Source organism: Homo sapiens, chromosome 5, assembly GCF_000001405.40.
Source record: "Homo sapiens chromosome 5, GRCh38.p14 Primary Assembly".
NCBI classification, from domain to species: Eukaryota; Metazoa; Chordata; class Mammalia; order Primates; family Hominidae; genus Homo; species Homo sapiens.
The window spans coordinates 1,380,660-1,408,266 of NC_000005.10; the positions used below are offsets into that span (position 1 = coordinate 1,380,660).

A 27,607-nucleotide genomic window follows, 5' to 3' on the forward strand; every position below is an offset into this window, starting at 1 on the left:
GGGCTGCTGGCACGTTGTCACCTTTCAGTTTCACAATATCCCAAGATGCATTAGTAGTTTCTGTAGCCTGAGTGTTAGTGGCCCCCAAAATTGATAGGTTGGAACCTAATACCCAATGTGATGGTGTTAACAGGTGGGACCTTTGGGAGGTGAGTAGATCACGAGGGCTGTGCTCTCACGAATGGCATGAGTGGCCCGGGTAGAAGAGGCTCCAGGGAGCTCCCTCGCTCTGTCCACCCTGAGCCTTGTCAAGAGGCGCCGTCTTGGAAGCAGAGGGCTGCCTCATGGGACGCCACATCCGCCAGCACCCTGGTCTTGGACTTGCAGCCTCCAGGACTGTGAGCAATAAATGTCTGTTGTTGACAAGTGGCTCAGGCTTAGGCGTGTTGTCACAGCAGCCCGAATGGACTCCAGCAGCAGAGCAGCCAGGGCTGCACGTGGTGCGTGAACACACCCGCCGCCCTCCTCCTCCTGGGGCATATGACGGCTGCGCAGCTCTGTGTATCCAGTTTCTGGGCTGTTCCATGCCCCTATTCCCCTGATTGCTATGTTCTCCAGCTGAAAGAGCACACTGATTTTGCCTTCAGCCCACTCTCATTTTCCCCCAGATTTCACTAAGTGATTTTGCTAAGTGATGGCTGTGCTTCCCCTGTGCGCTTCTCTCTGGCTGGTTTCTACTCCGGATCCACTAGTGGGGCCAGAAAGAGCAGTAGGAAGGAACCTGAGGTTCCTGTCCACCATCAGGCATGTGCACACCTACACCCACACACCCCTGCACTGTGCACACCCACACACACTTGCACACCCACCTGTGCACACGTACATCCATACACACATGCTCACCCCTACATGGACACCCACACACGTGCACGTGCCCATACACATGCACACCCATGCACACACCTGTCTGTGCACACCCCACACCCATGCATGCCGGCACACACCCATGCACATCCACACACAGGCACATACCCACACACACGTGCACACCTCACACCCATGCATACCTGCACACGCTTGCACACTCACCTGTGCACACACATCATACCTGCATGCACACCCCCACACGCACACCCACACACCTGTGCACACACCCATACACATGCATGCCCACACCCACATGTGCACACACCGTACATACCTGCACACACCCACGTATGCACATGGTCAACACTCACCCACTCAGGCACTCTTACATGCACACACGCACACAGACATGGCCACTTTCATGGACACACACCCACACACGCCCACATATACACGCATGCCCACCTAAACCACTCACTTGACCAAATAGCTTTTCAGGAGAGCGCCTGGTCCTGAAGCTTTCTAGGCATTTCGGTAGCCAAACCCTCTTGATCGTGTGGTTCCAGAAAAAGCCAGTGCGGCACCCACTTACCCGTACTGCAGCCACCGTGGTCCCGGGAAGAGGGCTTGCTTCCGCAGAGCTAATGAGGGAAGCGGTCTCTGAGAGTAGAAGGGAGGCCTCGGAGGGAGGTGGTCTCCAAGAGTAGCCGGGAGGCCTGGGAGGATGGTGGTCTCCGAGAGTAGCAGGGAGGCCTGGGAGGGTGGTGGTCTCCGACAGTAGCAGGGAGGCCTGGGAGGGTGGTGGTCTCCGACAGTAGCAGGGAGGCCTGGGAGGGTGGTGGTCTCCGACAGTAGCAGGGAGGCCTCAGAGGGAGGTGGCAGAGCAGGCTCTGCTCTCAGGAAGTGCCCCGTGGGTGGCGACGGGCCGAGAGGTGCTCTGGGGGACGAGTTATGGCTCTGAGCTGCCCGTGCAAGGCAGGGAGGCTGCGTTTTCATGCGTTCACACCTCAGTCCCTGGGTAAGGACCTCCCAGGATGTACCTCCAGCACCCCGGTCATGCAGAGGCCTGGGAAAGCCTGTTGAGGCTGGAGGGGTGGGGGCACATTGGTGTGTTGGGGGACCTGTGTCGTGGGCACGGCTCCCCGTTTAGGGAAGGCACTGCGGTGATCACGCACTACCAGTAAGTATTTCAGAGCCCAAAACGCGAAAACAAATGGAAGAAGTTCCATGTCATAGTGAGTCTTGGCTGGGCGCAGTGGCTCACCTGTAATCCCAGCACTTTGGGAGGCTGAGGCGGGCAGATCACTTGAGGTCAGGAGTTTGAGACCAGCCGGGCCAACATGGTGAAACCCTCTCTCTATTAAAAATACAAAGCTACTCGGGAGGCTGAGGCAGAAGAATTGCTTGAACCTGGGAGGTGGAGGTTGCGGTGAGCCAAGATGGCGCCACTGCACTCCAGCTTGGGCAACAGAGTGAGACTCCATCTCAAAAACAAAAAAGAAAAACAAATAAAAATACAAAAATTAGCTGGGTGTGGTGGCGGGCGCCTGTAATCCCAGCTACTCGGGAGGCTGAGGCAGGAGAATCGCTTGATCCCAGGAGGTTGTAGTGAGCCAAGATGGCGACATTGCACTGTAGCCTGGGCGATGGGGTGAGACTCTGTCTCAAAACAAACAAATAAACACACACAGAAAACAGTGAATGTTTTTATTACAAATAATAAATGTTTGCTTTTACATACCACACCTCATTTCCCCAGGGGTTCCTGAGCACCCCCCCCCAACCCCCTGCTCACCCTCCTTCATTCTCTCCACAGTGTTTGAGGCATATTTTGTGCCAGGCCCCTCCCAGGGCTGCTAACAAGAAAATACAAAATAAAAATGGCAGAGAAGCGAGTGCCTCCCGCGTATGGCAATGCCAGCCATGAGCCAAACGGCTGAACAGAGTCCACATCTCCCTCCGGGTTTCCGGGGTCCCCTGCTCAGGCCTCACCAGTGCAGCGCGGACGTCAGACCGCTACCGTCTCACTCAAGGCTCCCGTGGGCCAGGGTCCACCTGGGTTCTGCTCCTTGGGATATTGGCAGGATCCCGGGCCCTGCTGCTGTGGACTCGGGACTTCACTTCCTTGCTGGTCAGAGGCTGCGTGAGCTTCCAGAGGCCACCTGCTGTTCGTGTCACCTGGGGCTCCCCGGCCCAGCCATGTGCTTCCTCAAAGCCACAGGGGAGGGCCAGGTTCCAAAGAAATGGGCATTGCAATCCTGTGTAACACAATCACATTCCTCCACTCCACTTTGCTGTGTTCTGTGGGTTAGAATATGGTTATCGCCGGGACACCAAACAAGGGTGTCACCAACAGGAGGTGGGGGGCCTTGGGAGTATGGCTACCACACAGGAGGAAACGACAGCTCCACTCCATCACTGAACCTGAGCTCAGCAGTGGCTTTGAGTGTCCTGGCAGCCACGCAGGAAAGGGACTCTGCTCAGAACACACATGCAGAAGCAGGACACACTCCTGCTCTCAAGCCCAGCGCTGAGCCCATCAGCGCTGAGCCCATCAGCGCTGAGCCCATCAGGGGCAGGTGTCCTGGGCCTCCGGTCTCAAGGGCATCATTTCTGTGCAGGCAACAGTCACTGGGCTGTCCTTTCACGCCCTTTGGACACACAGACAACACAAGTGGTTCCCAGAAGCCCTCTGTGTCCTGTCAGGTGGTGACAGGTGGGGGTGGCTGTCCTGTGTCCTCTCAAGTGGTGACAGGTGGGGGTGGCTGTCCCCTCTGTCCTCCGTGGTGGTGACAGGTGGGGGTGACTGTCCTGTATCCTGTCAGGTGGTGGCAGCTGCAGGTGGCTGTCCTCTGCATCATGACCCCACCTGTGTCATGGCAGGGCCAGGCTCATCTCCAGAAACCTCAGGTCAGTGATCCCTACGGATGCCTTTTTACATCATGTCAGAATCTGGAAAGTCTGTTTTATTTCATTATCTGAAATACTTTTAAGAGTGGTAACGGTAGCATTAGACTGATAGTTACATGGATCTGGGACATCTGTGGCACTGGTGCATAAACATCTGAGCCATTTCCATCATTTAACTTGTCCAATCCTTTCAACAGCCTTCTGTGCTGGGCGCGATGACTGCTCTCTGCACAGATGAGTAAACTGAGGCACAGGTGCCTGGACCCTTGCCAAAAAGTGAGGGAGCCAGAGATTCTAACCCAGGGCCCAGCCCTGAGTCTCACCCCTGCCCTCTCCCATCTGCCTGTCCCTCCACAACCCCGATGCCCGACCCTGGGTGGAGAAAGTACAGGGAGGGTCTGCAGCTGCCCAGCTGCAGTGTCCAGTGTCCTGGCGACAGGACCCGGAGCAAACCAGGCCTCGGCATGGGCACGGGATGAACTCAGGGCACCGGTGGGGTGTTGGCCGTTTCTGGGTAACAGACCTACAGGTGATGTCTTTTCCTCTTCTTTCTAAGCTTTAAAAATTACCATTGTGATTAATAGAACTTTTTAGAATTTTAGATACAGTTTCTCTGTGTGAACAAGGCTTAAAGGATATGAGAATGTTTCTGTAGCTTACAGGTCATAATACTATCTTTGAATACACAAATTGAAAAGCCACTTAAATATTAACCTTTGATTCTGAACCAGGATGAGCTTAACGATGGGGACCTGCAGGGCGTGGCCGGCTGGAGCCCATGGCCAGCAGCCATGGCTGAGGGCATACTTCAAAACGGTCATTTCTGTCCCACTAATACTGTGTAAATATGTATGCCATCCAATTTTTAACCAAATAAAATGTTCTGTCTGACGGGTCCCTTCATCTATATGACAAACAGTTTTAAGTAAAGAGGATCTCAGCTTGCAGAATAAGTAAAATTGTTTAAATTCTAGATAAATGTGTTCAGTGCTTGATGGGCTAATGCTGGCTGGATTTGTGAAGGTCAGTCATATACATGAAAATTCTTCTGCATTCACCTTAGAAGAGCGATATTTTTAGGCGAACAGAGCTTGCGATATTTTCTTTCCGTGCCACCTGCCCGCTTGGTGTCTGGCCCTGCGTCCTCAGAGGACCATGGTGGGCTGGTGTTCTTGGAGAGGAGGCCTCTCCAGGGCCACCAAGAGGGGGCTGTGGCCCAGGCTGAGCTCTTCTAGTGGCATGAGGGACACGCTTTATTCATGTGAGCGTTGTGAGGTGGGAAGGGAGGCCAGCCAGGGGAAGGGTAGAAGAATGCCTGTTGCTTGGGTCGGAGGCTCGATGGACTTTCACTGCTGGACATAGTGTGAACATGGGAGACGCAGGTTCAGCGATCACGTTTCACTTTCCCATTCCCCGGACCTCAAACTCAGGCCTGTGTAACTAAAGGTTCTGTGCTGCCAGGCTGGGCGTTTCCCCCAGGGAAGGCACGAGAGAGCGAATGCAGGGCCGGCCGCGGGGCCTGGGGACTGTGCCGCTCAGCACCACCCACAGGGCGTTCCTTGGGGCGTGGCCTGGGCCGGGGCGGTAGGATCCCTTGGACAGGGCCGTGTCTGGCTCACAGGAAGCTGCCCTCATGGAACGGGGTGCAGTGGGGTGTTCGTGGTCCTGCTGCCGTTGGCTGGGCGCAGCCATCCCTGCCGGCTCCCCCGCGCCTGTGCCCCGGGCCCTACTGCACCTGCACGGGCGGGGCTCTGGGGCCGGCGCGGGGAGTGAGGCCGCCGGTCTCCTCTGCTGTGGTCGGTGTGGGGGCCGGCGGGGCGCAGAGCTGCTCACCCGGCTGACTCCCCCTTCTGCCCTGCTGGCCTCTGAGCCGGTTCTCTGGGGCCTCTGTGAGCGCCTTGTGCCCCCCACACCCGCCGTGAGTACCGTGTCTCTCTGCTCAGCCAGGTGGGCGCCTCTGCTGCTGCTGTTGCCACCGAGTGACTGACTGACGCAGCGACGCAGCCACCGACACCCAAACACTGGAGCGTTTTACCCAAATGTAAAAGTCTAAACTTCCGGCTTCTCGAACAAAAGAAAACAAAGGAAAACGTCAGACGCCCCGTTGACGCCGGGCGCGCGTGGCCGCGGCCGAGCCGCTCTTCAAAGCCGGCAGCGTCTGGTCTGGCCTGGCTCCGCCAGCTGCCCGCAGGTCCTGTCCTCGTGGCTTTCTGCCCTGTCCTCCCTGGCCGGCTGCACTGGCTTCTGTGACGCTCGCTCCTTGCTGCGCAAGTGCAGGTGCAGCACCTTAAAGGCTGAGTGCGTCCCACACAGCGGGGCTGGAGCTCGGCACCTTCAGTCCACCCCAAACACCGCCCTCCCGCTGTGCACGGCCACTGCTGCCCCTCCTGCACCCCGACACATGGGGAGCTGGTCTGAGCCTGCCCCACCTGCTCTCCTGTGATCTCCCCTCTGCCACCCCCATCTCGCGCTCCATACCCCTTCCTCAGACCTCCTTGCCTGGGGCTGCTCTCCCCAACTCAGCAGAGCAGGGCTGGCCAGTACTAAGGACAGGGGCGACCACTGGTCCCCAGAAATCCTGAATCCAGGAAACCCCTCAGTCCGGGGCAGACCGGGATGGCCGACCACCCTGACTAGGGGAGGGCCGTCAGAAGTCTTTGACCCTGATCTAAGTTCTCTCTGCTTTGCTGAGTCTCTTTCTGTCTCTCTCCTCCTCTCCCTGTCTGAATGTCTGCCTGCCTCTCTCCCACACACATCTGAGACACAGGTCTCACAGAACCGCCCTTGCCCTTCTGTCTGTCTGTCTGCCTGCCTCTCTCTCACACACACACCTGAGACACAGGTCTCACAGAACCGCCCTTGGCCCTCTCTGCCAGGAGGGTGGTTCTCGGAGGTTCCCATCCTCTGTGGGGATGCTGACAGCTGTGGGTCATGGCTGGTGCCGCGGTTCTCACTCTTGGCTGCAGAGAGCAGCTGGGGGCTGCAGGTCAGGCCACACCTAGCTCCCCATGGCCCTGGTTCACTTAAGTGACAGGCTGGGGTGAGGGGAGGAGGAGGCCAGGGTGTGACCGTCGGTTCCATTTCTGCTTTCCCCCAGCTCCCCAAGTCAGGCACCGGCACAGTGGCAGTTGGTTTGTGGGACACCCATCTGTCAGTAGGGCATGAGTATCCTTGGCTCTGTCCTGCTGAATCATGGGTCCTGGCTGTGGCGCCAGGGCCAGCTGTGTTTGTGATCTGGTGCATCCTCAGGAGAAGGAGAGCAGGCGAGGCGCCAGGGAATGTAGGATTTGCTGATGAATTGTGTTTCAAAAAAGGTGGCTTTTTTTCTGTTGTCAGACTTCAGGAAACAGGTAGAGGCTGTGACCTTTGGGCCAGTCAAATGAATCTACAGAGATTAAAGGAGGATTGTGGAGTGAAAACCAAAAAAAGCCAAACATAGAGGAATCCGTTTACCCTTTCAGCCACGTATTTCGCTGTTGCCGAACCTTTATTAAAATGCTTCTCTCAAAGGAAAAATTGTATAGTTTTTTCAGGCTTCAAAAACCCAGGCCATGTGTCTAAAGGTCACTTGACGAACAGCACAAATCCCATGGTAAAGGGCAGGGTGCGGAGGGGTGAGCCTCCCATCCAGCACCAAAGCGGGCTCTGAGGGCTTATCCCTCCCAGGGAGTCCAGCACCAAAGCGGGCTCTGCGGGCTCATCCCTCCCAGGGAGCTTGGGTTCTGCACAAACAGTGTCAGAAGAAAAGACTTCTTCAGACATTTTGAAATTAACATTTCATTTGTATTAAACAGCCCAACCCTCCTTGGAGAGCAAGTACTAAATACAGCATCCACACAGTCAGCCCTGTAGGGGAATTTGAGATTGGACCAGAATGGCAGACTTGTACATGTCATCCAGGACCTTCCACCCATCCATCTGCACATCTATCTATCCCTCCACCTACCCATCCACTCATCCATTCCTCCATCCATCTATCCATCCACCCATGCTTCCATGCATCCATCCATCCACACATCCATCTGTCCATCCACCCAAGCATCCATCCATCCATGCATCCATCTATCCATCCATTCATCCGTTCATCCATCTATCTATCCATCCCTCCAACCGTCCATAACCTACCCACACATCCATTCACCCATCTACCCATCCATCCATCCATCCATTCATCCATCCACAAATCCACTTGTCCATCCATCCATCCATCCATAACCTACTCACTCCCCACATCAACCCATCCACCCACACACCACCTATTCATTCATCCATCCATCACATACCCACCCACCCGTCTATCCATCCATCCATCATCAACCCATCCACTCACCTACCCATTCATCTATCCACCCATCCATGCATCTATTCATCCAGCCATCATCTGCCTGCCCATCCATCTAACTATCCATATATCCATCCACCCAACCGTAATCAACCATCCATCCACCCAGCCATCTACACACCCCCTTTCCCTCTCACCCTCCCTCCCTATCTCCCTTTCTTCTTTCTTTTGTCCATCAATACATCCATTCATTTACTCATCCATCTATCCAACTATCCACTCATCCATTTATTCATCCAACCATCCACCACTCATCCATTAACCCACCTGTGCATTCATCAATCTATTTATCCCTTTCTCTCTCTCTCACCCTTTTCTCTCTCTCCTTTCATCCATCCCTCCCTTCTTCTGTCCATCCATCCAGCCTTCCATCTATCCATTCATCCCTTATCTATCCACCCATTTATCCATCCACCCGCCCCTTCACCCACCCATTCATTCATCCATCTGTAAACATATTAAATGCCACTGCCTTCCATGTACCAGGCCTGTTCAAAACACTGGCAGAAGCGAGTGAGACTAACTCAGTTCCTGCTGGGACAAGAGACAATGGGCCATCTGCCTTCAACAGAACACCTGCTAGGGAAGACCTGGGGAGAATGGGGGTTTCAAGGAACACTGGCCAAGGGCCAGAACCCAGAAGCTGGAGTGGGAACAGACTTTCAGTGGTGATGTCTATGGGAAGCTGACATGGCATAGGAGCTAGTGGGTTAAGGTTGGAAAGTTCATGGTGAGAACAGAAAGAAGGTAGTTCCAGATGAGGGAACAAGAGGAAGTACAGGATGGGAAGGAGAGTGAAGCCTGGGAAGGCATCCCAAGGGCCGGGAATGTCTCAGGTACCCAAAGGCCCAGGCAGGATGGACCTGCTTTCTCTAATGCCCTGGGGACGCCCACCACAAACGGGGCACTTGAAACAACAGAAGTTTATGGTCTCACCGCTCTGGAGGCCAGAAGTTTGAAGTCACAGTGTTGCCAGGGTTGGTTCCTGCTGGAGGCTCTGGGGCAGCATCTGTTCCATGTGTGTGTCTCCAGCCCCTGGTGATGGCTGGCAGCCCTCTGTGAGTCTTGGTTTGCAGGTGCATCTCTTGATGTCTGCCTCCGTAGTCACACAGAGGTCCTGTCCTGGTCTCTGTTTCACTGTGTCTCTTTTCCCCTTCCCAGGACACCAGTGGTGTTGGATTCAGGGTCTCAGTGTCTCTCCTCTCCTCTTATAGAGTCCCTGTCATATTGGATTTAGGGCCCACCCTACTCAGGTATGACCTCGTCTTATCTAATCGCATCTGCAACAACCTTATTTTCACATAAGGAGTCAGGACTTCAGCCTTCTCAGGGGATACAGTTCGACCTTTCCCACCGCCCCACCAGCCAGTGCCGCAGCTCACGGGCCCTTCCTGCCGTGAGCGTCCACTCAGTGCTGGCCTTTCTGCTGCTCCCAGTCTCGGCTTTTATGGCCACTGCACACGCCTCTCCATGTGTCTCTGTCAGGCACACAGAGAGAACTGTGGGGCTTGTGATTGTCTCCCTTAGGCTGGAATCCTGCAGACTCTTGAGTGGAGATTGTTGTGCTCCTGAATCACTGGGACTCACAGGAGAAAACCAGGAGAGAGCGGGAAACAGGCCAAGGGAAGGGAGAGGCCGGAGCAGACATGGTTTCAGGTGGGGTCCAGTGGTCCTAACGGGGACTCTGGACATATATCAGACTGCAGGTCAGGATGGGGGCTTTGACCTCAAGGTGGTCAGGGTCTGGCCCTGGGCCACCCTGGCACAGGCTTCAATCCCAGGGGCCCCTGGACGAGGGCCCAGCTGCCCAAGGCAGGCCCTGGGGGCTCCAGGTGTGAGCTGTTAGGGCGGCAACTGCAGCGGGGGTGGTGGCCACCCCCAAGGGTAAGGGGCATCCTATGTGACAATGGGGAGGGTAGGAGCAGCAGTAAGGCTGCAGGCAGGTTCAGCCCTTGTCGTTTTCCTGCCATGGAGTTCACTCACCCACCTGAAAGCTGCGAGTGTCCTTCCTGTCCACACGCAGCCACACAGGGGCTCAGACTTTCCAAAGCCCAGCTGCTGTGATGGGTGTGCTGCCACATTACGTGGTGGCTGACTGCATTTCCATGACAACTGGTGAGGTTGGGCCTCTTTTCATAGGTTTGTTGGCCACTTGGGCACTTTCCCTTGCTGGCAGTCATTCAAGGTCTCTGTCCACTTTTCTGATGGGGTGTCTGCCTCTTCCCTATGGACTTGTGGAGTTCCTTCTACATTCAGGGTGTAAGTGCCCCTCCCTCACCTGCTCCCTCAGGCACTCCCTGAGTAAATCACTCGGCACGAGGACCCCGTGTGCACCTGCAGTATGCTGTTCCGGTTGCCTGCAGAGCCTGCAAGCTCGCCAGCGGCCAGCGGGCATGGGGCTGGTACCAGATGCCATCCACAGCTCACACGCCAGAGAGGCGGGATCCCACATGTGGCTCCTCACTCCTCCCTGCTCGAGGACTGCCGTGCCTTTGTTTTGGGGCTGGGGAATGTCCTCAGCTGGTTCTTCCCCCAATGCCCTGATCCTGGGCTCACATGTGACCGGTCCCTGCAGACCCCACACCTCTGAGAAAGGCTTCAGTGGCATGGGCCTAGGCTGGACCACGACGCACTCAGCAAAGCCCAGCTGTCTCTGTGACCAACGGCCATCTGGGCCGGCCCCTGCTGCCGAGCTGCTGGGACCACAGGCAGAGGAGACCCACCTGGCAGAGGAGACCCACCCAGCCCCGGAGCCCACCTCTCCGATTGCTGGGGCTTAATACAGTCGCCCATGAGGCTGTCGGAGTCCTTCAAGTCTCAGCCCACATAGTGACTTATGGCCACCCACACAGTATCTGCCTGGACCCCAGACCTGAGTGGTCAGCAGGGATCACACCTGGGGGCTCCAGGTGTGAGCTGTTAGGGCGGCACCTGTAGCAGGCGGGGTGTAGCCACCCCTGAGGGTAAGGGACATCCTATGTGACGATGGGGACGGTGGGAGGCACTAGTTAGGCTGCAGGCAGGTTCAGCCCTTGTAGGCAGCCCAGCACTTTTCCTGCCACAGAGTTCACTGACCCAGCTGAAAGGTGCGAGCGTCCTTCCTGTCCACACGCAGCCACGTGCTACGATGCAGCAGTAGCAGTGTCCCCATGTGCTGCCAGGCACAAAGCCCTCGGTGTGGGGTGTGCCCTCAGGCAGTTCGGGGCAGGGCTGCAGGTGGGGCTGGCGGGAGTGACGCTTGTCTTATCACAGGTCACTGCCTGGAAGGGGTGCTGCCATCCTATCACAGGTCATGCTGAGGGCATTGGCATTTACTCCAAGCACCAGGATAACCCTGGGGTTTCCTTGGGCTGTGGCCTGATCTGTTGGTATCTAGAAGAATCCTTTAGGCCACAGAGCGACGAAAGATGCTTGGACTGAGGACCAGGACCCACCAAGATCTGGGATGGGGCTTGGAAGAGGCTCTTGGGTTGGGCAGTGGCAGTGGTCAGGCAGTGTGGTTGGAGTCTGGACATGTGGGGAGCCCACAAGAATGCTGAAAGGCAGGTGAGGGGCTGGGGGAGAGCGGTGCAGGATGGCACGGAGGTCCAGCCTGAGCAAGTGGGCACGACATAAGGTGCCACAACCTGCCACAGGGGACCCTGCAGGAGTGCAGACGTGGGTGAGGGTCACCACTGCACCCAACACTGTGTGGGAGCCCAGGGAAGGGGAAACAGATCACACCCAGCACACCTGCGTGGGAGCCTGGGGAGGGGGACAGGTCACACCCAGCACACCTGCGTGGGAGCCTGGGGAGGGGGGACAGGTCACACCCAGCACACCTGCGTGGGAGCCTGGGGAGGGCGACAGGTCACACCCAGCACACCTGCATGGGAGCGTAGTGGATGTGTTATCTCTAACGTCTAGGCTTTAGGGGAGGCCGGAAGGAGAGATGGGCCAAGAGGCATCAGGTGAGGAAGCTTTGCTGTGGGTGGGCTGGGGTGGGGCAGAAGCTGACCTCGGGGTGTGAGCAGGTGAGCTGGGCCTGTGTAAATGGATGGGGCCCAGCGGAAACGAGACAAGGAGGCTGAGGCAGTTTTTCCATTGTGGATGTCTTTTATTGTGCTTAGGGACCCACACGATGCTGAATAGAGATTGGTCAACAGACACGGACAACACCTGGGTTGCTACACGGAGCCCCTCCCCAGAAGGCGATGGGGAAGCCGCTCTCTGTGCTGACTGCAGCAGCCAGAAGGCGATGGGGAAGCTGTCCTCTGTGTCCCTCCCCAGAAGGCAATGGGGAAGCCGCTCTCTGTGCTGACTGCAGCGGCCAGAAGGCGATGGGGAAGCCGTCCTCTGTGTCCCTCCCCAGAAGGCAATGGGGAAGCCATCCTCTGTGCTAACTGCAGCTGCCTGGCAGTTCACAGGCTGACGGCTCCCACCGAGCATTACACTCCAGTCCCTGGAGCCCACGTCCACTTGCAGGGGACAGCCATGACTGGCCCTGCACGGCCCCTGCCCTCGGGCAGCACGTAGGCAGGCCCACCGACTTGAGGCATGAATTCAAACTATGGCATCCACTTTCCTGTCAGTGGCAGAGGGCAGTGTGCCATGGAAAGCAGCTTTTGGCCAACATCCTTCACTCAGTATTGCTAATTATTCTTGTAAACAAAAACTGCAATATCAGCAAGCAGGCTCGCGGATACTGCATTCTTGAATTTGTTTTGATTCACAGGTAAATATGATTTTAAAAAGCCATTCGCAAACATAAAAACTGTTGTTATTGATGTGGCACGCACCTGAGAGAAATAAAATTCCAGTGGGGTCCCTTCCTGGAGGTCACGGCTCAAGGCCAGGCAGAGTGTGGTCTGCAGGCTGCCTGCATGGGGGCCCTGCATGCGTCCTGGGGTAGTACACGCTCCTGTGGGGGCCCTGCATGCATCCTGGGGTAGTACACGCTCCTGTGGGGGCCCTGCATGCGTCCTGGGGTAGTACACGCTCCTGTGGGGGCCCTGCATGCGTCCGGTCCGGGGATAGGACACGCTCCTGTGGGGGCCCTGCATGCGTCCTGGGGTAGTACACGCTCCAGTGGGGGCCCTGCATGCGTCCTGGGGTAGTACACGCTCCTGTGGGGGCCCTGCATGCGTTCTGGGGTAGTACACGCTCCTGTGGGGGCCCTGCATGCGTCCAGGGATAGGACATGCTCCTGTGGGGGCCCTGCATGCGTCCGGGGATAGGACACGCTCCTGTGGGGGCCCTGCATGCGTCCGGGGATAGGACACGCTCCTCTCAGGCCGTTCCCTACACCGCAAGGACCCACAGGCTGCCTGAGTGGCAGTAGCCTGAGCTGGTTTCAAGGAGTTTTATTTCTCTCTGCTGCAAGAACATAAACAGAATTTCCTGGTGAGACATACCAGGACCCCCATCCTCCAATGCCTCTGAACAGACTGTGTGTGCAATGTGTCAACTGAACGCTCAATTTACGGCCTCTGCTGGGAGCCACGCATCGGGAAAGGACTTTGCATGAATTTGTGGTTTCCTCCATTTCACCTTCTGCACAGCTAAACCAAGCAGGACACTTGGCTTTTTAATATGGGCAAAGTAAATGGTCTAGGAAGCTACTGTGAGCACGGGGATTCTCAGCAGGTGCGTCTACAAGGATCGTGATCCCCGCCTGAGAACACAGTGCCCCTGGGGCAGCCTCAGAGCCGGGAGCAGGGAGCAGGGAGGGAGGGAGCCTCACACAGACAGCATGAAGTTAGACGTTTTTCTGCCCTGCAGGGACAACAACGGGGTGGACCTCGCTGCACAGATCTACGTCGTTATTACAGCAACACAAGACACGGCGAGGTGCGCTCCCGGCACGGAAAGGTGTAAACAGTCAGAAGAGAGGAGTCTTCTGCTTTGTTGTTTGTGTTTTCAGTAGAGGTTGAAGAGTAGAAGTTGCCCTCCTTTCTCTCGAAACTTAGATTTCCTTGGTTTGTTCGTGTCTCTCCCATTGCAGGATGACTTCCTGGGGTCTTCGTCTCTGCTCCCTCTACACCTTGAGCCAGTGGCGGAGCTGGAAAGAAAACAGGTTTAGTCAGAAACCCTGGGGCGATGCCCCATTTAAGAGCAGCTGAAGGTGGCTAAGAGCAGCTGAAGGCAGTGAGCAGACAGTTTGCAGCCTCCTGGCCATGTGCCCTGGGAGAAGGGGAGGCTCACTGGGGGCCTGGACCAACACACCCTTGACAGGTGCCGGGGATCCGATGCCTCACTCAAACTCCTACAAATCAATCATTACTTGATTTTTTAAAAAGCCGCGAGACTGTGGTTGGCGTGGTGGCCATGGTGGCCTCTGGGGCGTATTGATCAGATGCTGAGTCTGAGAGATGCCGGGCACCCTCAGTCCGGGGCTGGTTCCAGATTGTACCCCAGCGACTTGGGTGTGACGTGGTGATGTCACCTCTCCCCCACGTCCCTCCACCTTCCTGGGGGCCTCAGATGCTCCATCTGAGTGACACGCTACCTCTGCAGCTCCATCTTGCTCTCTGCGACCCGCGCGGGCGCAAGTGCAGCGTGTACTGACTGCTCAGGGACTGATGAGATAGACAAGAGCAGCTATTTACACCACCAGCAAATGTCATCGCCTGCTATTATGCAGCTGTTAGTTCAGCCTGTTTGTGAGCGTCAAAGCCCCTCGATAGCACTAAATGGCAAGAAGTGTGCTTCATAAACATTTCCAAACAGGGGCATGCGGGGCTTGCTTCTGACAAAACCACGCCGGCCATGGAAAGCCACTGAAGCTACCACTGGCCACACCACAGGCTCCTCTGGCCACTCCACCAAGAGCCTGCAGGGACCTCCTCAGCCAGGGTGGGATCACACTGCAGGCCAGGGGTCTACCGGGGGCCTGGAGCAGCCACAGCTGATGCCGGCACAGGCAGCATCCAGGTGCAGCTCGGGGCTCAGTGAAGGAAGCTGGGGTCAGGGAGCCCGGCCAGGACCCACAGCCACGGGTGGCCCAGCGGCCAGAGCCCTAGAGCAGAGGCTCTGGGTGGCAGCCCCACTTCAGGCCAGCGATGAAGAAGCCATGCTTGGGACTTCAGCTGTGAGTCCTGTTCCCCCCAGGGTGAAGCAGTTCTCTGTCCTGCCCGCTGACAGAAGCAGAAGGTCCCCTCTGGAGGGAGGTGTGCTTGGGGGCTCCCAGATTCCCACAGATTAAGATCAAGCCATAAATGTAAAATAAAGACTAGAAACAGAAGACAGCAGCCCACTCTAAGTGAGTCCCCAGAAACCAGACCTCAATTTGACCCCAAAGGACCAGAGCTGTTGCAACAGATTACAGGATGGCCACATAGGGGACTCTCAGAAAAGTGACACACGCACATCACAGTGATGAGAATTTCACAAGAAACAGCAGAGCACACGCAGCTTCCAGAGATGAAGTAGAAAAGAGAATGGCTGGGCTGCAGACCAGGGGCAGGGCAGTGGAATGCGGAGCGTCCATAGCTGAGCTGTGGTTTGTTCACGTGACGGACGGTCAGGGACCAGTCACGGTAGGTGAAACGTAGCTATGGATACAAACATTTCTGACCTAGATGGAATAATAGGGATCGAATTTACCCTACTGTCCGAAACAAGCCCCAAATAAACAAAACACACGTGCCGATGACCTTCCAGACCATGGACACCAGACCGTAAGGGTCAGTGGTCCCTGAGGGAAGCCAACAAGGAGGCCCCCCTGCCACCCTGCTCGCTGCCTCGAGGGAGTTTCTAGATTGCAGCACAGGGAGGGTGCAGCCTGGTGGACTCCCTGAGCTGAGACGCTGGAAAGGAGAGCGAGGGAAACGGAGGTGGCTGCAGTTTGCAGGCCAGAGCGCCAGAGAGGAGGTGGCCACACAGAGAGAAGACCCGGGACAATGGCCCAGGACCCCTGCTGAGGGTTCAGACGAGCACATCCCGCTGTGAATGAGGAGGCTGGGGAGAGATCCGCCGACAGGACCAGAGGGAACCACCTCTGATGCCCACACAGGGCTGGGCACGGTGCCTGTTCCCCCAGCCAGGAGAATGTCATGATTCTCGGGGATCTGCATGGGGTGTGCATAAGGTCTTGCTTCAGTAGGGGTTGGTTAGGGCTACACCAAATGCTGAAGCCAAATAATACACTTTTTAGGAAGCTAGAAATATCTAGAGATGCAACAAATGAAATTGTAAGAAGGGCAAGGGAAAGATCAAGCTAGACGCAGATACAGAATGGGTGAGGGGCAGGCAGTTTCCACAGTGCCTAGTTTTCCTGCTGTGGGCTCACAAGGGTCTGTTTGTTACGGTGACAAATTAATAATTTAAAAATGGCCACATGTGGATTAATGATAAGATGCGTTACTCAACTGTGCACCTAAGATTCAAATGAAAACAAAATCTAAGTGAGGTAAGAGACCTGGAGGACCTGGGGCAAAGTGGACACACCAGAGCCTCATAATGGAAAACACAGAAAGGCAGAAGGCAATCTTTCAGTGTGTGGCTGCAAAATTCACAGAATGACAAGATTTGTGAATCCACAGATCTGGCCACAAAACATATCCAGAGAGGAAAAATAAAAAGAAACCAAATTAACGGTGGTGGGTGCCTGCAGTCCCAGCTACTCGGGAGGCTGAGGCAGGAGAATGGCGCGAACCCGGGAGGCGGAGCTTGCAGTGAGCCGAGATTGCGCCACTGCACTCCAGCCTGGGCTACAGAGCGAGACTCCGTCTCAAAACAAACAAACAAACAAACAAACAAACAAAAAAGAAACCCAGGTCCCGACACTCCGCAGTGAACCCGAGACACCGAAAGCAGAAGAAACTCGGCCGAGTGCAGGGGTGAGGACAGAGCCCACCACAGAGCAGGCTCACAGGCCACACATCTCAGCACAGCCACGGAACACTGCTGCCTCCAAAACGCAGAGATAGTCCCTGTCAGCCTAGAGCCCTGAGCCCACAACAGTGCTTTCGTGAATGAGAGCAGCATAAAGATGTTCCCACACACCAATAGTGAGGGAGGTTAGCAAGAGACCTCCTCAAAGGAATGTCTGAAGGATGCTTTTTGAAAAGCAAGAAAATGGTCCTAGAAGAAAAGAAGTCTATAACAAAAGTATGGGAACCAACAAACACCAAGCATGCACATTAGTCCAAGGAACATGATGAGTCCGTACAAAATAATAACAGGAACAAGAACAATGACAGTGTCTAATTTGTGGGTTAAAAAGAGAGAAATAGATTTGAACAATCATAGCATGTTCATCAGTAGGAGGAAGATTTAAGTCCTTATAATGGGATGGGGTTAAAATATGGTTTCTCTGTAGAGTTTAAGTGAAATATGTATGGTACAACCTCAAGAGTAGCTATTAAAGGAATAGAATAAGTCCGGGCACAGTGGCTTACGGCTGTAATCCCAGCACTCTGGGAGGCAGAGGTGGGCAGATCACTTGAGATCAGGAGTTCGAGACCAGCCTGGCCAACATGGTCAAACCCTGTCTCTACTAAAAACACAAAAATTATCCAGGTGTGGTGCTGGGCACCTGTAATCCCAGCCACTTGAGAGGCTGAGGCAGGACAATTGCTTGAACCTGGGAGGTGGAGGTTGCAGTGAGCAGAGATCATGCCACTGCACTCCAGCCTGGGTGACAGAGCAAGACTCCACCTCAAAAAAAAAAAAAAAAAGAATAAAGTATGTAAGTTCTAAGCAAGTAGAGAGAAATAAACGGAATAATAAAAATGAGTGAACCAAGAAAAATCAATCTATAAAAAGGCAATAAAGGAGAAAAACACTAAAAATGGGACAAATGGAATAGAAAGATAGTAGAATCAAGTTCAAATATATCAATAATCACAACAAATGTAAATGGATTAACCTGTCCAACTGTCAGCGTAAAAAATTCTAGGTGTATGCTGGGTTTGCAAAAGACACTTAAATCTTAAGGTTACTGCAAAGTTGAAAGTTAACAGATTGCAAAAGATATTTCAGGCAAACTCAAAAGACACCTTGGTGCAACTATATTTGTCCCAGACAAGTCAGACTTTAAGACCAAAAGCATCATTAGGGAGTGAAGATGGGTTCATGTCACCAGGAAGAGATGATCATTCTGGACATGGATCAACCTCAGAAAACAGCCTCAGACTACAGAGAGCAAAACCTGATAGAACTGAGGGGAACAGCAAACAAATATACTATCGAGGAAGAATATGCCACAGGCATCTCTCAATTACTCATGGTCAAGCACCCCTAAAGTTGACAAAGTGTAGACAATGTGGGTAACATAATATATAACCCTACTCAAATGGACAGAAGCAGAACTGTGTATTGACAATTAGAGAATAGCACATTCATCTAAAAGATGTGCAACGTTTATCAAAGTTGATCAGGTATAAGGCCCTAAAGAAGTCTCAATACATTTTAAATAATAGGTATCATATGTGTTTGAGAACAATGAAATTAATTTGGAAATTAAAAACAAAAAGATGAGTAAAACATCCCCATATATTTGGCAATTTAAAAGCAGACTTTTAAGCAAGTTATGAGTTGACAAAGTCACAATGGAAATTAAAATATACTTAGAACTAAAAGATAAAGAAAAATACTATGAAAAAAATACGGAATGTAGCACATGGAGTATTTTGAGGGAAATTCATAGCCTTGAGTGCTTACATTAGAAAAGAACGAAGGATGCAAATTAATAACCTAAAGTCCAAATTAAAAAGTTAGCAAAACTACAACAGAGTAGATCCAAGAAAAAGAGAGGAAGAAATGATAAATACAGGAGCTGAGATTAATGTGACAGGAAGCACAGCAAGAATCTCACATGAAGTCAAAGTTGGATATTTGAGAAGACTAGCAAGATCCTGTACAAAGTGTAAGACCCCCAGGTATAGGACTCTCAGAGGAGAGAGGCTCTGGTGGAGCAGGACCGGAGGCCCAGTGGGGAGGGGCTGGCATCCTCTGGATGGATGGGATGGGATGCCTGGACACGCCTCCTGTGTTTGGAGCAGGCAAGTCACTGGGAGGACAGAGGAAAGGGTGCCAACGGAGGGAGGCAGAGCCCACACCAGAACCTGACTTGCAGGTAGGAGGAACAAGCTGTGCAGATGTGTGCTCAGAGGCGGCTTCTCCCCACTGCCTCCCGGCCTGTTCCCTGCTCAGCGTCTTGTTCTGCCTGACGTCACCACCCACCTCCCAGGCACGCAGAGCCCCCTCCCTCTGCCTGTATCCTTGCTCCTGCCCCATGTGCAGGTCCATGCTGGGCTCCTCAGGCATGAGCTCATGAGACCCCTGCTGGGAGGACTGTTTACGAGAACCAGCCACAGAGAGGTGGCCAGAGGGAAGAGGCAGGTCCGAGGTGGGGCCGCGGTGCCCTCCACACTATGGCCTTCTCTCCCTTTTGCTGTGCATTGGACTCTGCTGTCGGCATTAGGCTGACATTAGTGTATGGAATCAGGTCGGGGCTGAGGCCACTCTGGGGTGGAGGAGGACAGTGCCACAGGCCCAGGGCACAGCCCAGGCTCCTCTCCTGCTGGCCAGCTCTGTGATCTTGGGCACATTCCGGGGCCTCTCTGGGTCTCAGGGACCCTGGTGTAGAGAGAGTGCTGGGCTGCCTCTTAGGGTTGTGGGAGTAAAAACACGTCAAGTGTTTACTGTGTGCCCCCGGGAATGCACCTGCTCCACGGCATGTCATGAACATGTTCGCACACAGCTGGATGGCTCCCAGGGTGCAGGAAACACCTGGCGTGACCATCCTCTCACTCGAAGCCAGCCCCAGGCTCCCAGGCCTCTCCCAGCCCCTCCAGGGCTCCCTGTGGCTTCCCATGGCCAGGCCCAGGCCTCCCCTCCTGGCACTGTCCCTTGTGCCCCCGTGAGGCGGGGGGTGGTGGTCCCTTGCTGGTCCTTAACCTGGCTCAGCTGGCCCCACAGGGCACTGCTCCCGTGGTCTGGGACATGCCCAGGTCTTTGCAGGGACCATGCTTTCCTCAGGCGTCTGTGCAGCCGCACCTCCCAGGGCCCCTGCGTCATGTGCCCCCCGTCCCGGGCACACGTCTCCACTGTCACCTGCCACCACTGGCTGCCTGTCCTCATAGAGCACATGCTGGCTGAGTAAATGAGCACCATCTACACCAGCCTCGGAGCCCCCTGGGGGCTAAGAACACTGAGCTTGGGATCATTCTGAATTCCCCCGAGAGAGGCCCAGCAGGGACCTCGACCTCACCGTGAACTGGCGCACCTCCCCTCTGTCCACCAGCTCACGGTCCTTCTCGGGTGCAATGGCGTAGGCCAGTTTCTGAAAGAGAAAGAGAGTGCAGGGGTCAGTGCAGACCAGTACCCACTGCCAGCACCCACCACTGACTCACACTGCCAGGACCCTCACCTACCAGCACCCTCACCACCAGCCCTCCTCACCTGCCAATGCCCACCCGCTGGCATCCATATCACCAGCGCCCACCACTGACTTACACTGCCAGTGCCCATGCCGACCAGACAGCCAGTCAGGCCCGAAGCCAACATCCTGACGGTCCCCTTAAAGTCTAGCGCAGAGCAGAACATCAGCATTTGAGCACTCGCTTGAAAATAAAACGTGGTCCTGGAGATGGCTCTTGAGTCTAAGCTACCACGTGTGCTGGGCTCTGAGTAAGAAAGTGCCCACACCCAGGTGGGCTGCCTCGGGGCCACCTGCAGCTGACATATTCCGGGAGCACTTGCTTTTTGTCACCTGCAGCTCTTGGGAGAGTGAACGCTGAACGTGCCTTCCTTCCACTGCCCGCTGCGGCAGCTCCTGGGGCCTGGACAGCACCAAGTCCTCCCAGAGCAGGCAGCATCTTCAGGAGCTCACCCTCTCGGGCCTGGATGCCTGTATCTGGATCTCTGAGGCCAGGTGACCTCTCACAGGGACCCCTGTGCGTGGCCCCACCCCACGTCATCACCACAATTCCACTTGTACCTGGCTCAGCTGCTGAGGTTTTACTTGGCTTACGTTCAGAGTTTGGCCATGCGAGGGGTAAGGGCGCTGGCTGTTCAGGTCCGCCGGGCTGTAGGCATCCTCCAGCTCTGCGCTGACCTGGGCCCCGCCTCCCACGTCCATCCAGCCTCCCAGAGGAGCTCTCTCCCTGCAGAGACTGCCCGGCTGCCTGCTCTTCCCCTGTGCTGGGTCCTGGCAGGTCAGCCCGTGGGGGTCTGAGAGGGACTGTCCACAGCAGGGTGCCATCAGCTTTCCTGGGGCCATGGCAGCCCCAGAGCTCCTCCCACTCCACAGAAGCCCCCAGCCACACACTGTGCTTTGCCTGCACTGGGCCTTGGCCTGGCCAGGCTGCTGGAGAGACTGGCTCAGTGCCAGCCTGAGAGCATCTGCCACATGTCTGAGCCCAGGGGACACCGTGTGGCCCTAAGGTGGAATCCTTGAACACAGCTGGTGCTGCTCTGGGGTTTTGATGCCCAGGGCCAAGCGACTTCTTTCTGAGAAAGGCTGGGATTTGAGGAAGCAGCTTCCGGGAGTTCCCAGTGGTGGGATCTCAGGTGAGGGCGACCCTCTTCCAAGGAGGGAGTGTCCTTGTCTCTTCCTGGAACCACAGAGCCAGGGTGTTAAACAGGGCCCTGTGACTGGTCCACCTGCCTTTCTTCTACACAAAGGCGGCAAAACCAAGCAGAAGAAAGGAGATGCATATCAGTGACTCCGCAAAGCTTCCTCCACTGCCTGGGGCTCCAGCTGCCCCTGTTCAGCCAAAGTTGGGCTCGGCCCTGGGGGGACCTAGATCACCCCTGATTCTACCGCCCTCAGATGGCTTCTGTGTCCACCACACCACATACCATAGTGTGTAGGCATGCATGCACTCAGTACACACAAACACTTGGACACGAATGTGAGCACAGACCCAGGCCCACACACACGTGCACACGGAGACAGCACATACAGACACAGAGATACAGTGGATGTACACACAGGCACAAGCACACACAGACACATGCACACACAGACACACACAGACATGTGGACATACTTAAAGACACACACATGAATACACATATGGACGCACACCCATGGGCCCGGGCGTGCAGGTGGACACACACACGCACACACACACACAGTGTTGTGGTGGCCACCTCCAGTCTCCTCCTCTTGGTCACAGATGACCCAGGCAGGTGAGGACTGGGGCCATGGACACCCACGGAGCCTTTCTGGTGGCCTCACACTCGGGTGAAGGCGCCCCGTCCAAATACCCACCTCTCGAAAGGACCCAGGCAGGCTGCAGAACTTGTAGGCCGCATAGATGGGCACCATGGCCATGGAGGATGTGGCGATGACCCAGCCCAGCGCGTTGGCCCAGTCGGGGAAGATGTAGGCTCCGTAGTGGGGGGGTCTGAAGGTCACAATGCTGACCACGACCACGAACTGCAACCAGCAGATACGGAGGTCAGGCAGCTCTCAGCCGGCGGTGCCAGGACAAAGCAGGGAGCGGGCAGGCACTTCATGGCAGAGCGTCTCTCAGCCCCCACAGCTGTGCAGGTGCAGACCCCGGCCAGGCCTGCAGACATGGCAGCTGGGCATCCCGGGCAAGCCATGTCCTCCTGAAGCATGATCTAGCCTGTCCTGTCCTATCCTGTTCTCTCCCCTCCCCTCCCCTCCCATCCCATCCTGTTCCATCACCTCTCCTCCCCTCCCCTCCCATCCTGTTCTGTCCCCTCCCCTCCCCTCCCATCCTGTTCCATCCCCTCTCCTCCCTTCCCCTCCCATCCCATCCTGTTCTATCCCCTCTCCACCCCTCCCCTCCCATCCCATCCCATCATGTTCTATTCCATCCCATCCTGTTCTATTACATCACATCCGGCTCTATCCCATCCCATCTCATCCCATCCCATCCCTTCCTGCTGTATCCCACCTTGTTCTATTCCTTGCTTGAAATCACAACAAAAACAAAACTGACCACCACCCAGTACACTGAATCTATGATCATCCATGGCCTGAAGACACAACTGTGACCCATGCGGGACCACCCTAGGGCCATCTGAGCTCCGTATCTCTACTCATTCTAGAAGCAAATCTGATAAAGTCACAGACCTGTCTCAGAACCACCACCACAAAGGTAACAGAGGGTGGGGTGGATGCCACTTGGAGGGGAAGCTTCCCACTCTCCAGAGGCTTCTCCTGAGGCAGCTCATGCATTTGTTCATCCACTCCACAAACATGCACCACCATCTAAAAAGATCCTCCATGTGCCTACATATGCACCTCACACCTGAATGTGTTCTGTGCACCCACATGTGTACTGCACGCCTACATATGTGTTCTGTGTACCTGGGTCCTTCCCAAGGACACAAGTGAAGCTCTGATAGATATGGTTTATGATGTAGCTTAAAATGCAATTTTTTCCCAATTGTCCACTTTTCCTCAATTTCAGAAAAGTTAAAACATCCAAGCCTTCCACCTGAAAAGCATGTTGGACGCGTGTCTCATGCCAGTCTCAGCATCTTCTTCATGCGCTACTTCGGGCCACTTGTAGGTTTGGAGCCGGCTAGCGGAGGACTGGGATGGGGGCTGGGGTTGTGTCTGTCACGTGACCAGAGCCAGGGTGAGCAGCACTTTGGCGAGCAAAGCCAGTGGCCTGCAGCATCTGGGATCAGGGGCGGCTGCCTTGGCTGCACAGAGAGCCCTGAGCATGCTTTAAAGAGCCACGCGTGCATCCCTGGACATGTCGGGCTTGCCTATCTGACATGGAGGTATTGCTGTAATGTGCTCTCTGTTATTGTTCAACTTCTTGCTAGATACCACCTTTCTTAGAAAGAACTATGCCTCCCCAGGCCACAGTCTGCCCATGTAAGTTGCCTTTGCTCCGGCATAATTTCCCTTTAGCAGTGCTGTGGCATCATCTGCCACAGAGTCATCTGAACGAGACTGGGGCGTGTACACCCCTTACGACCAGAGGTTAGCACACGCCAGAGGGCAGGGGACTATGCCGCAGCCTGAAGAAACAGATGATAACACAGACGTTATGTTTCTGCTGAAATCAGAACTTCATAGGAATTGTGCTGTCATATTAAATACAAAATGACATAGAGCAATGAAATTGTCATGTTTCTCTCAACTTGGCAAAATGAAGTCCTGTTTCGTATAGTTTGTAGTTTTATCTAAAAGTCTACGAAGTGTGTTTCTGTATGAAGTTCGAAGATTTAGTCTAAGATCAGTAGAACATTTTATCTCCTAAGATCGAGGTCAGCCCTCTGGGTGTTAAGAGGAGACACCCCCTCAAGGGGAGCCAACGTCCTCATGCAAAACAGCTCAGTTTCAACTAATGGCGGGGGAGAGCGGGAGGTGGGCAGGAGGCTGACTTTCTGGGAGGGCTTCCTCACTTTCCCCTCTGAACAGCCATGTAGTCTGTGTGCTATTAAAAGCCCGCCCCATGAATCCAGGAACCTTCAACGGGAGCCTTCACAAGCGCAGTTAACTGGACTTGGAACACTTACGTGCAGCCACACCACGCGGCCTGGAGCTCAGACACGGTGGAATTTCTACAAGATGCCGGGCAGGTTCTCTCACACTATGTTGAGCTCCTCCGGGATAGGGCCTGTCTCTCATCTCTTTCCTGTACCCCGGAACCCCTCTGCTGGCAACTACGGGGCTGTCCCACCTGCTGTGTGCAGGTGACGAGGGGTCTCCACGCACGCGGGCCCTGCTGACTCCGGGACCAGCCCTTGGTCCATGAGAGGGTGCGGCCTGAGTCCCCTGCCCTGTTCCAGTCCCCACCTCGTGCCTGCTGGACTCGGGAGGTGCTTCTCTACGTGAGCAGCTCACGGGACACTCTGCTTAGACTTGGACAGCTCTTAGGTTGCCTGCCCAGATCAGGCAGCACAGCTTTGCTTTGTGAGCCTCCAGGCCTCTGTGGTTCAGTGGGGGAAGCACTGCAGGCAATCCCTAATGAAAGTGTGCGGCCACCTTCCAACAAAACTCTATTTACAAACACCAGCGTCCGACGGCCTTGCCCGGTGGGCCCTGACTCGGTGGCGGATGACAGAAGCAAGTGCCTACTGGACACAGTGATGCTGCTGAGCCAGAGGGAGGCTTGCGTGAGCAACGGGACAGGGCCGAGGCCCCTGCTGCTCTCATCCAGCACTCGGCATCCTTTGTCCCCACTGCCCCGGAAGCTCTAACTTCGACCTTGATCCTCACAGGCAGAGGTGAGTGGACAGCCCGACTCACCTCCAGCTTCCCCTCCCAACACAGAGGCGCGGCCCAAGTGCAGGACTCACAACGGACTGTGACAGGGGTCCAAGACCATGTGAGGTTTTTTCGGTGGGTCTAGAGGGGAGGGTGGAAGCCACCTTAAGGAGACTATAGATGAGTTCAGGGATCAGCCTGTCCTTCTGGGCCGAGTCTTGAGGCCCCTGACTCCAGCCACAGTGACAACCCACATGCGGGCGCTGGACCTCGGGGCAGGTGCCAGAGTGGGGGCAGTGGGCAGACGGGGGAAGGGCAGGTGGCCCGAGGTCCCTTACCAGGAGAAAGCAGGGGCTGACCAGCTTCCAGCACAGCCGCCAGTACAGGCTGGGCCGCTGCCCGGTCATCTGCTGGATGTCGTCGCTGAACTGCCCAACACCTGAGGGAGAAGAGGTGGCATCAGTGTCCATCAGGGCAGCGCATTCCCCCGATGCTGGACACGTGTGGGGGTCCTCGCTGACTCCCAAGGGCCCCACCTACCGGCCCCAGGCTTCGGCTGCACCCAGCCTCCTGCAGAGGAGGCCAGGCCACACCCCAGCCCACTGGGTGCCTCGCTGACGGGTGGGAGCCCACGTGCCTGCTCCACCCTGGAGATGCACCAGGAAGAGCCGTGCCCCGGTGGGTGCTCCCCGCGCCCCGGCAACAGCCCCTCGGGTCCTCCTCCCCATCCCATGGCTCTCCCTGTCTCCCTCTGCTGCTGGTACTTCTTGTTCACTTAAAAAGATTATGGTAAAATACACATAACATAAAACTTACCATTTTAGCCATTTTTACGTGTAGAGTTCATAATGTATCAATACATTCACATACTGTGTAACCGTCACCACCGTCCATCTTCAGAACTCCATCCTCCAAAATGAAATTCTGCCCTCATGAAACGCCAACTCCTCCCGACCCCCAACCCCCGCCAGGCCCCAGCACCATCTGCTTTTTGTCTCAATGAATGTGACTCCTGTGGGAACCTCCCGTCAGTGGAGTCACGTGGCACGGGGCCTCTGCAACTGGTTTACTCCCTGTAGAGTGTCCCTGAGGCCACCTAAGCTGCGGCCCACATCAGCATTCCCTTTTGTTTTAAGGCCGAATCATATTCCGTCATGAGTATACCGTCACTGTGTCTTCAGAAAAGCTATTTCTAGAAACATAATAAACATTTTTTCTCCCCAAAAGCAAGTACCAGCAGTCCACTTTAGAAATGCATATTTTTCTTTCACTGGTATTATCTAACTTCTTCTAGGAACTGACCCTAAGACCTTAAGAGTGGTTTCTCCCCCCACATCTGGCCTGGTCTGTGACTCGTGTGACCGCGGCTGATCTGCTGAGATTTGGGGCAAGTCTTGCGGTTGTCCCGTGTCCCATCAGAAAGAAGCCTCCACACAGAATCCCCTCTTCACACCCACCCGGCATCCGAGCTCTGAACATGAGAGATGGACGTGGGAGGCAGCGGGGATGCAGAGAGGTGAGGCCGGAAGAAGCCAAGAGGGGCGTCCCCAAGGCCCCTCGGCCCCCAGACCCTGCCTCCCACCAGCAGGTCCCAGGGCCCCTGCCGGAGCAGGAGTCATCAGCTCCAAGACCTACAGGACCGCAGCGTGCTGGAAGCCCGGCGTATTCCGGCACATCTTATTAGAGCACAGGTTTTGTTTCATTTAGATGAGAGGGGCGTGGATTTCTCTTTGGAAAAATAACACAGATCTCGGTCTTCTGAGGTGCAGGTCGCCAGGGCCGGCTTCTCCCCATCTCCCGTGGTTCCGGAGGCCATGGCAATTCAAGGCACTTTCTCCCTTCCTCTGTGAAGGTCTATGTTTTGTTCAGGGAAGATGACAATGAAAGTGATAGACAAAGTATTGATTCCAGACACCCGTGAAAGTACGAGGTTGATATTTCCGTTTTCTGTAGAGCAACACTGAAAACAATGTTCTCAGAATAGGAGCTATTTGTCCTATTTGTCTCAAAGTCAGGGCGTTTATCTGGCTATAAATTCCATGGCTCTGAGGCAGAGAAAATGACCCCCTTGTTTGCAGGTGAGCTGGGCGTCCTCCAAAACCGGGGCTCACGCAGCACCACAGACATTCAGCTTTCAGCCGGATCCACACATTTTTTTTTTTCTTTTTTGAGACGGAGTCTCACTCTGTTGCCCAGGCTGGAGTGCAGTGGTGCAATCTCGGGTGACTGCAACCTCCGCCTTCCGGGTTCAAGCTGAATCATATTCCATCGTAAGTATACCATCAGTGTCTTCAGAAAATCTACAGCCTCCTGACTAGCTGGGATTATAGCCTTGTGCCACCACACCCGGCTAATTTTTTTTTTTTTTTTTTTTAGTAAAGATGGGGTTTTACCATGTTGGCCAGGATGGTCTTGAT

The 27,607-nt window shown here is 55.0% G+C and overlaps 1 protein-coding gene across 1 annotated transcript in view, besides 3 other annotated features; it reads right to left on the minus strand.

The window, feature by feature from the left end:
* Nucleotides 5,115-5,409: an enhancer, noted in NCBI's record as "tiled region #8068; K562 Activating DNase unmatched - State 4:PromP, and HepG2 Activating DNase unmatched - State 4:PromP". NCBI's record gives its function as "activates a minimal TATA promoter and a strong SV40 promoter by Sharpr-MPRA in K562 cells, with weaker activity in HepG2 cells {active_cell/tissue: K562 | HepG2}" and the evidence as "EXISTENCE:reporter gene assay evidence [ECO:0000049][PMID:27701403]".
* Nucleotides 5,466-6,034: an enhancer, noted in NCBI's record as "H3K27ac-H3K4me1 hESC enhancer chr5:1386240-1386808 (GRCh37/hg19 assembly coordinates)". NCBI's record gives its function as "activates a minimal SCP1, AML or CMV promoter by ChIP-STARR-seq in naive H9 embryonic stem cells {active_cell/tissue: H9 hESC(naive)}" and the evidence as "EXISTENCE:reporter gene assay evidence [ECO:0000049][PMID:30033119]".
* The window catches only part of SLC6A3 (solute carrier family 6 member 3), a 52,647-nt gene continuing 37,174 nt past the window's right edge, over nt 12,135-27,607 (minus strand). The window contains exons 12-15 of the mRNA NM_001044.5: nt 25,529-25,629; nt 22,263-22,430; nt 20,256-20,327; nt 12,135-14,099 (exon numbers count right to left, since the gene is read on the minus strand). Of these exons, the coding sequence (NP_001035.1) occupies nt 14,076-14,099; nt 20,256-20,327; nt 22,263-22,430; nt 25,529-25,629 (365 nt within the window). The 3' untranslated portion in view covers nt 12,135-14,075. The remainder of the gene's footprint in view (nt 14,100-20,255; nt 20,328-22,262; nt 22,431-25,528; nt 25,630-27,607) is intronic.
* Nucleotides 24,184-25,383: an enhancer, noted in NCBI's record as "CDK7 strongly-dependent group 2 enhancer chr5:1404958-1406157 (GRCh37/hg19 assembly coordinates)". NCBI's record gives its function as "activates an origin of replication core promoter dependent on BRD2, BRD4, P300/CBP, MED14 and CDK7 cofactors, with strong dependence on CDK7, by STARR-seq in HCT116 cells {active_cell/tissue: HCT116}" and the evidence as "EXISTENCE:reporter gene assay evidence [ECO:0000049][PMID:35650434]".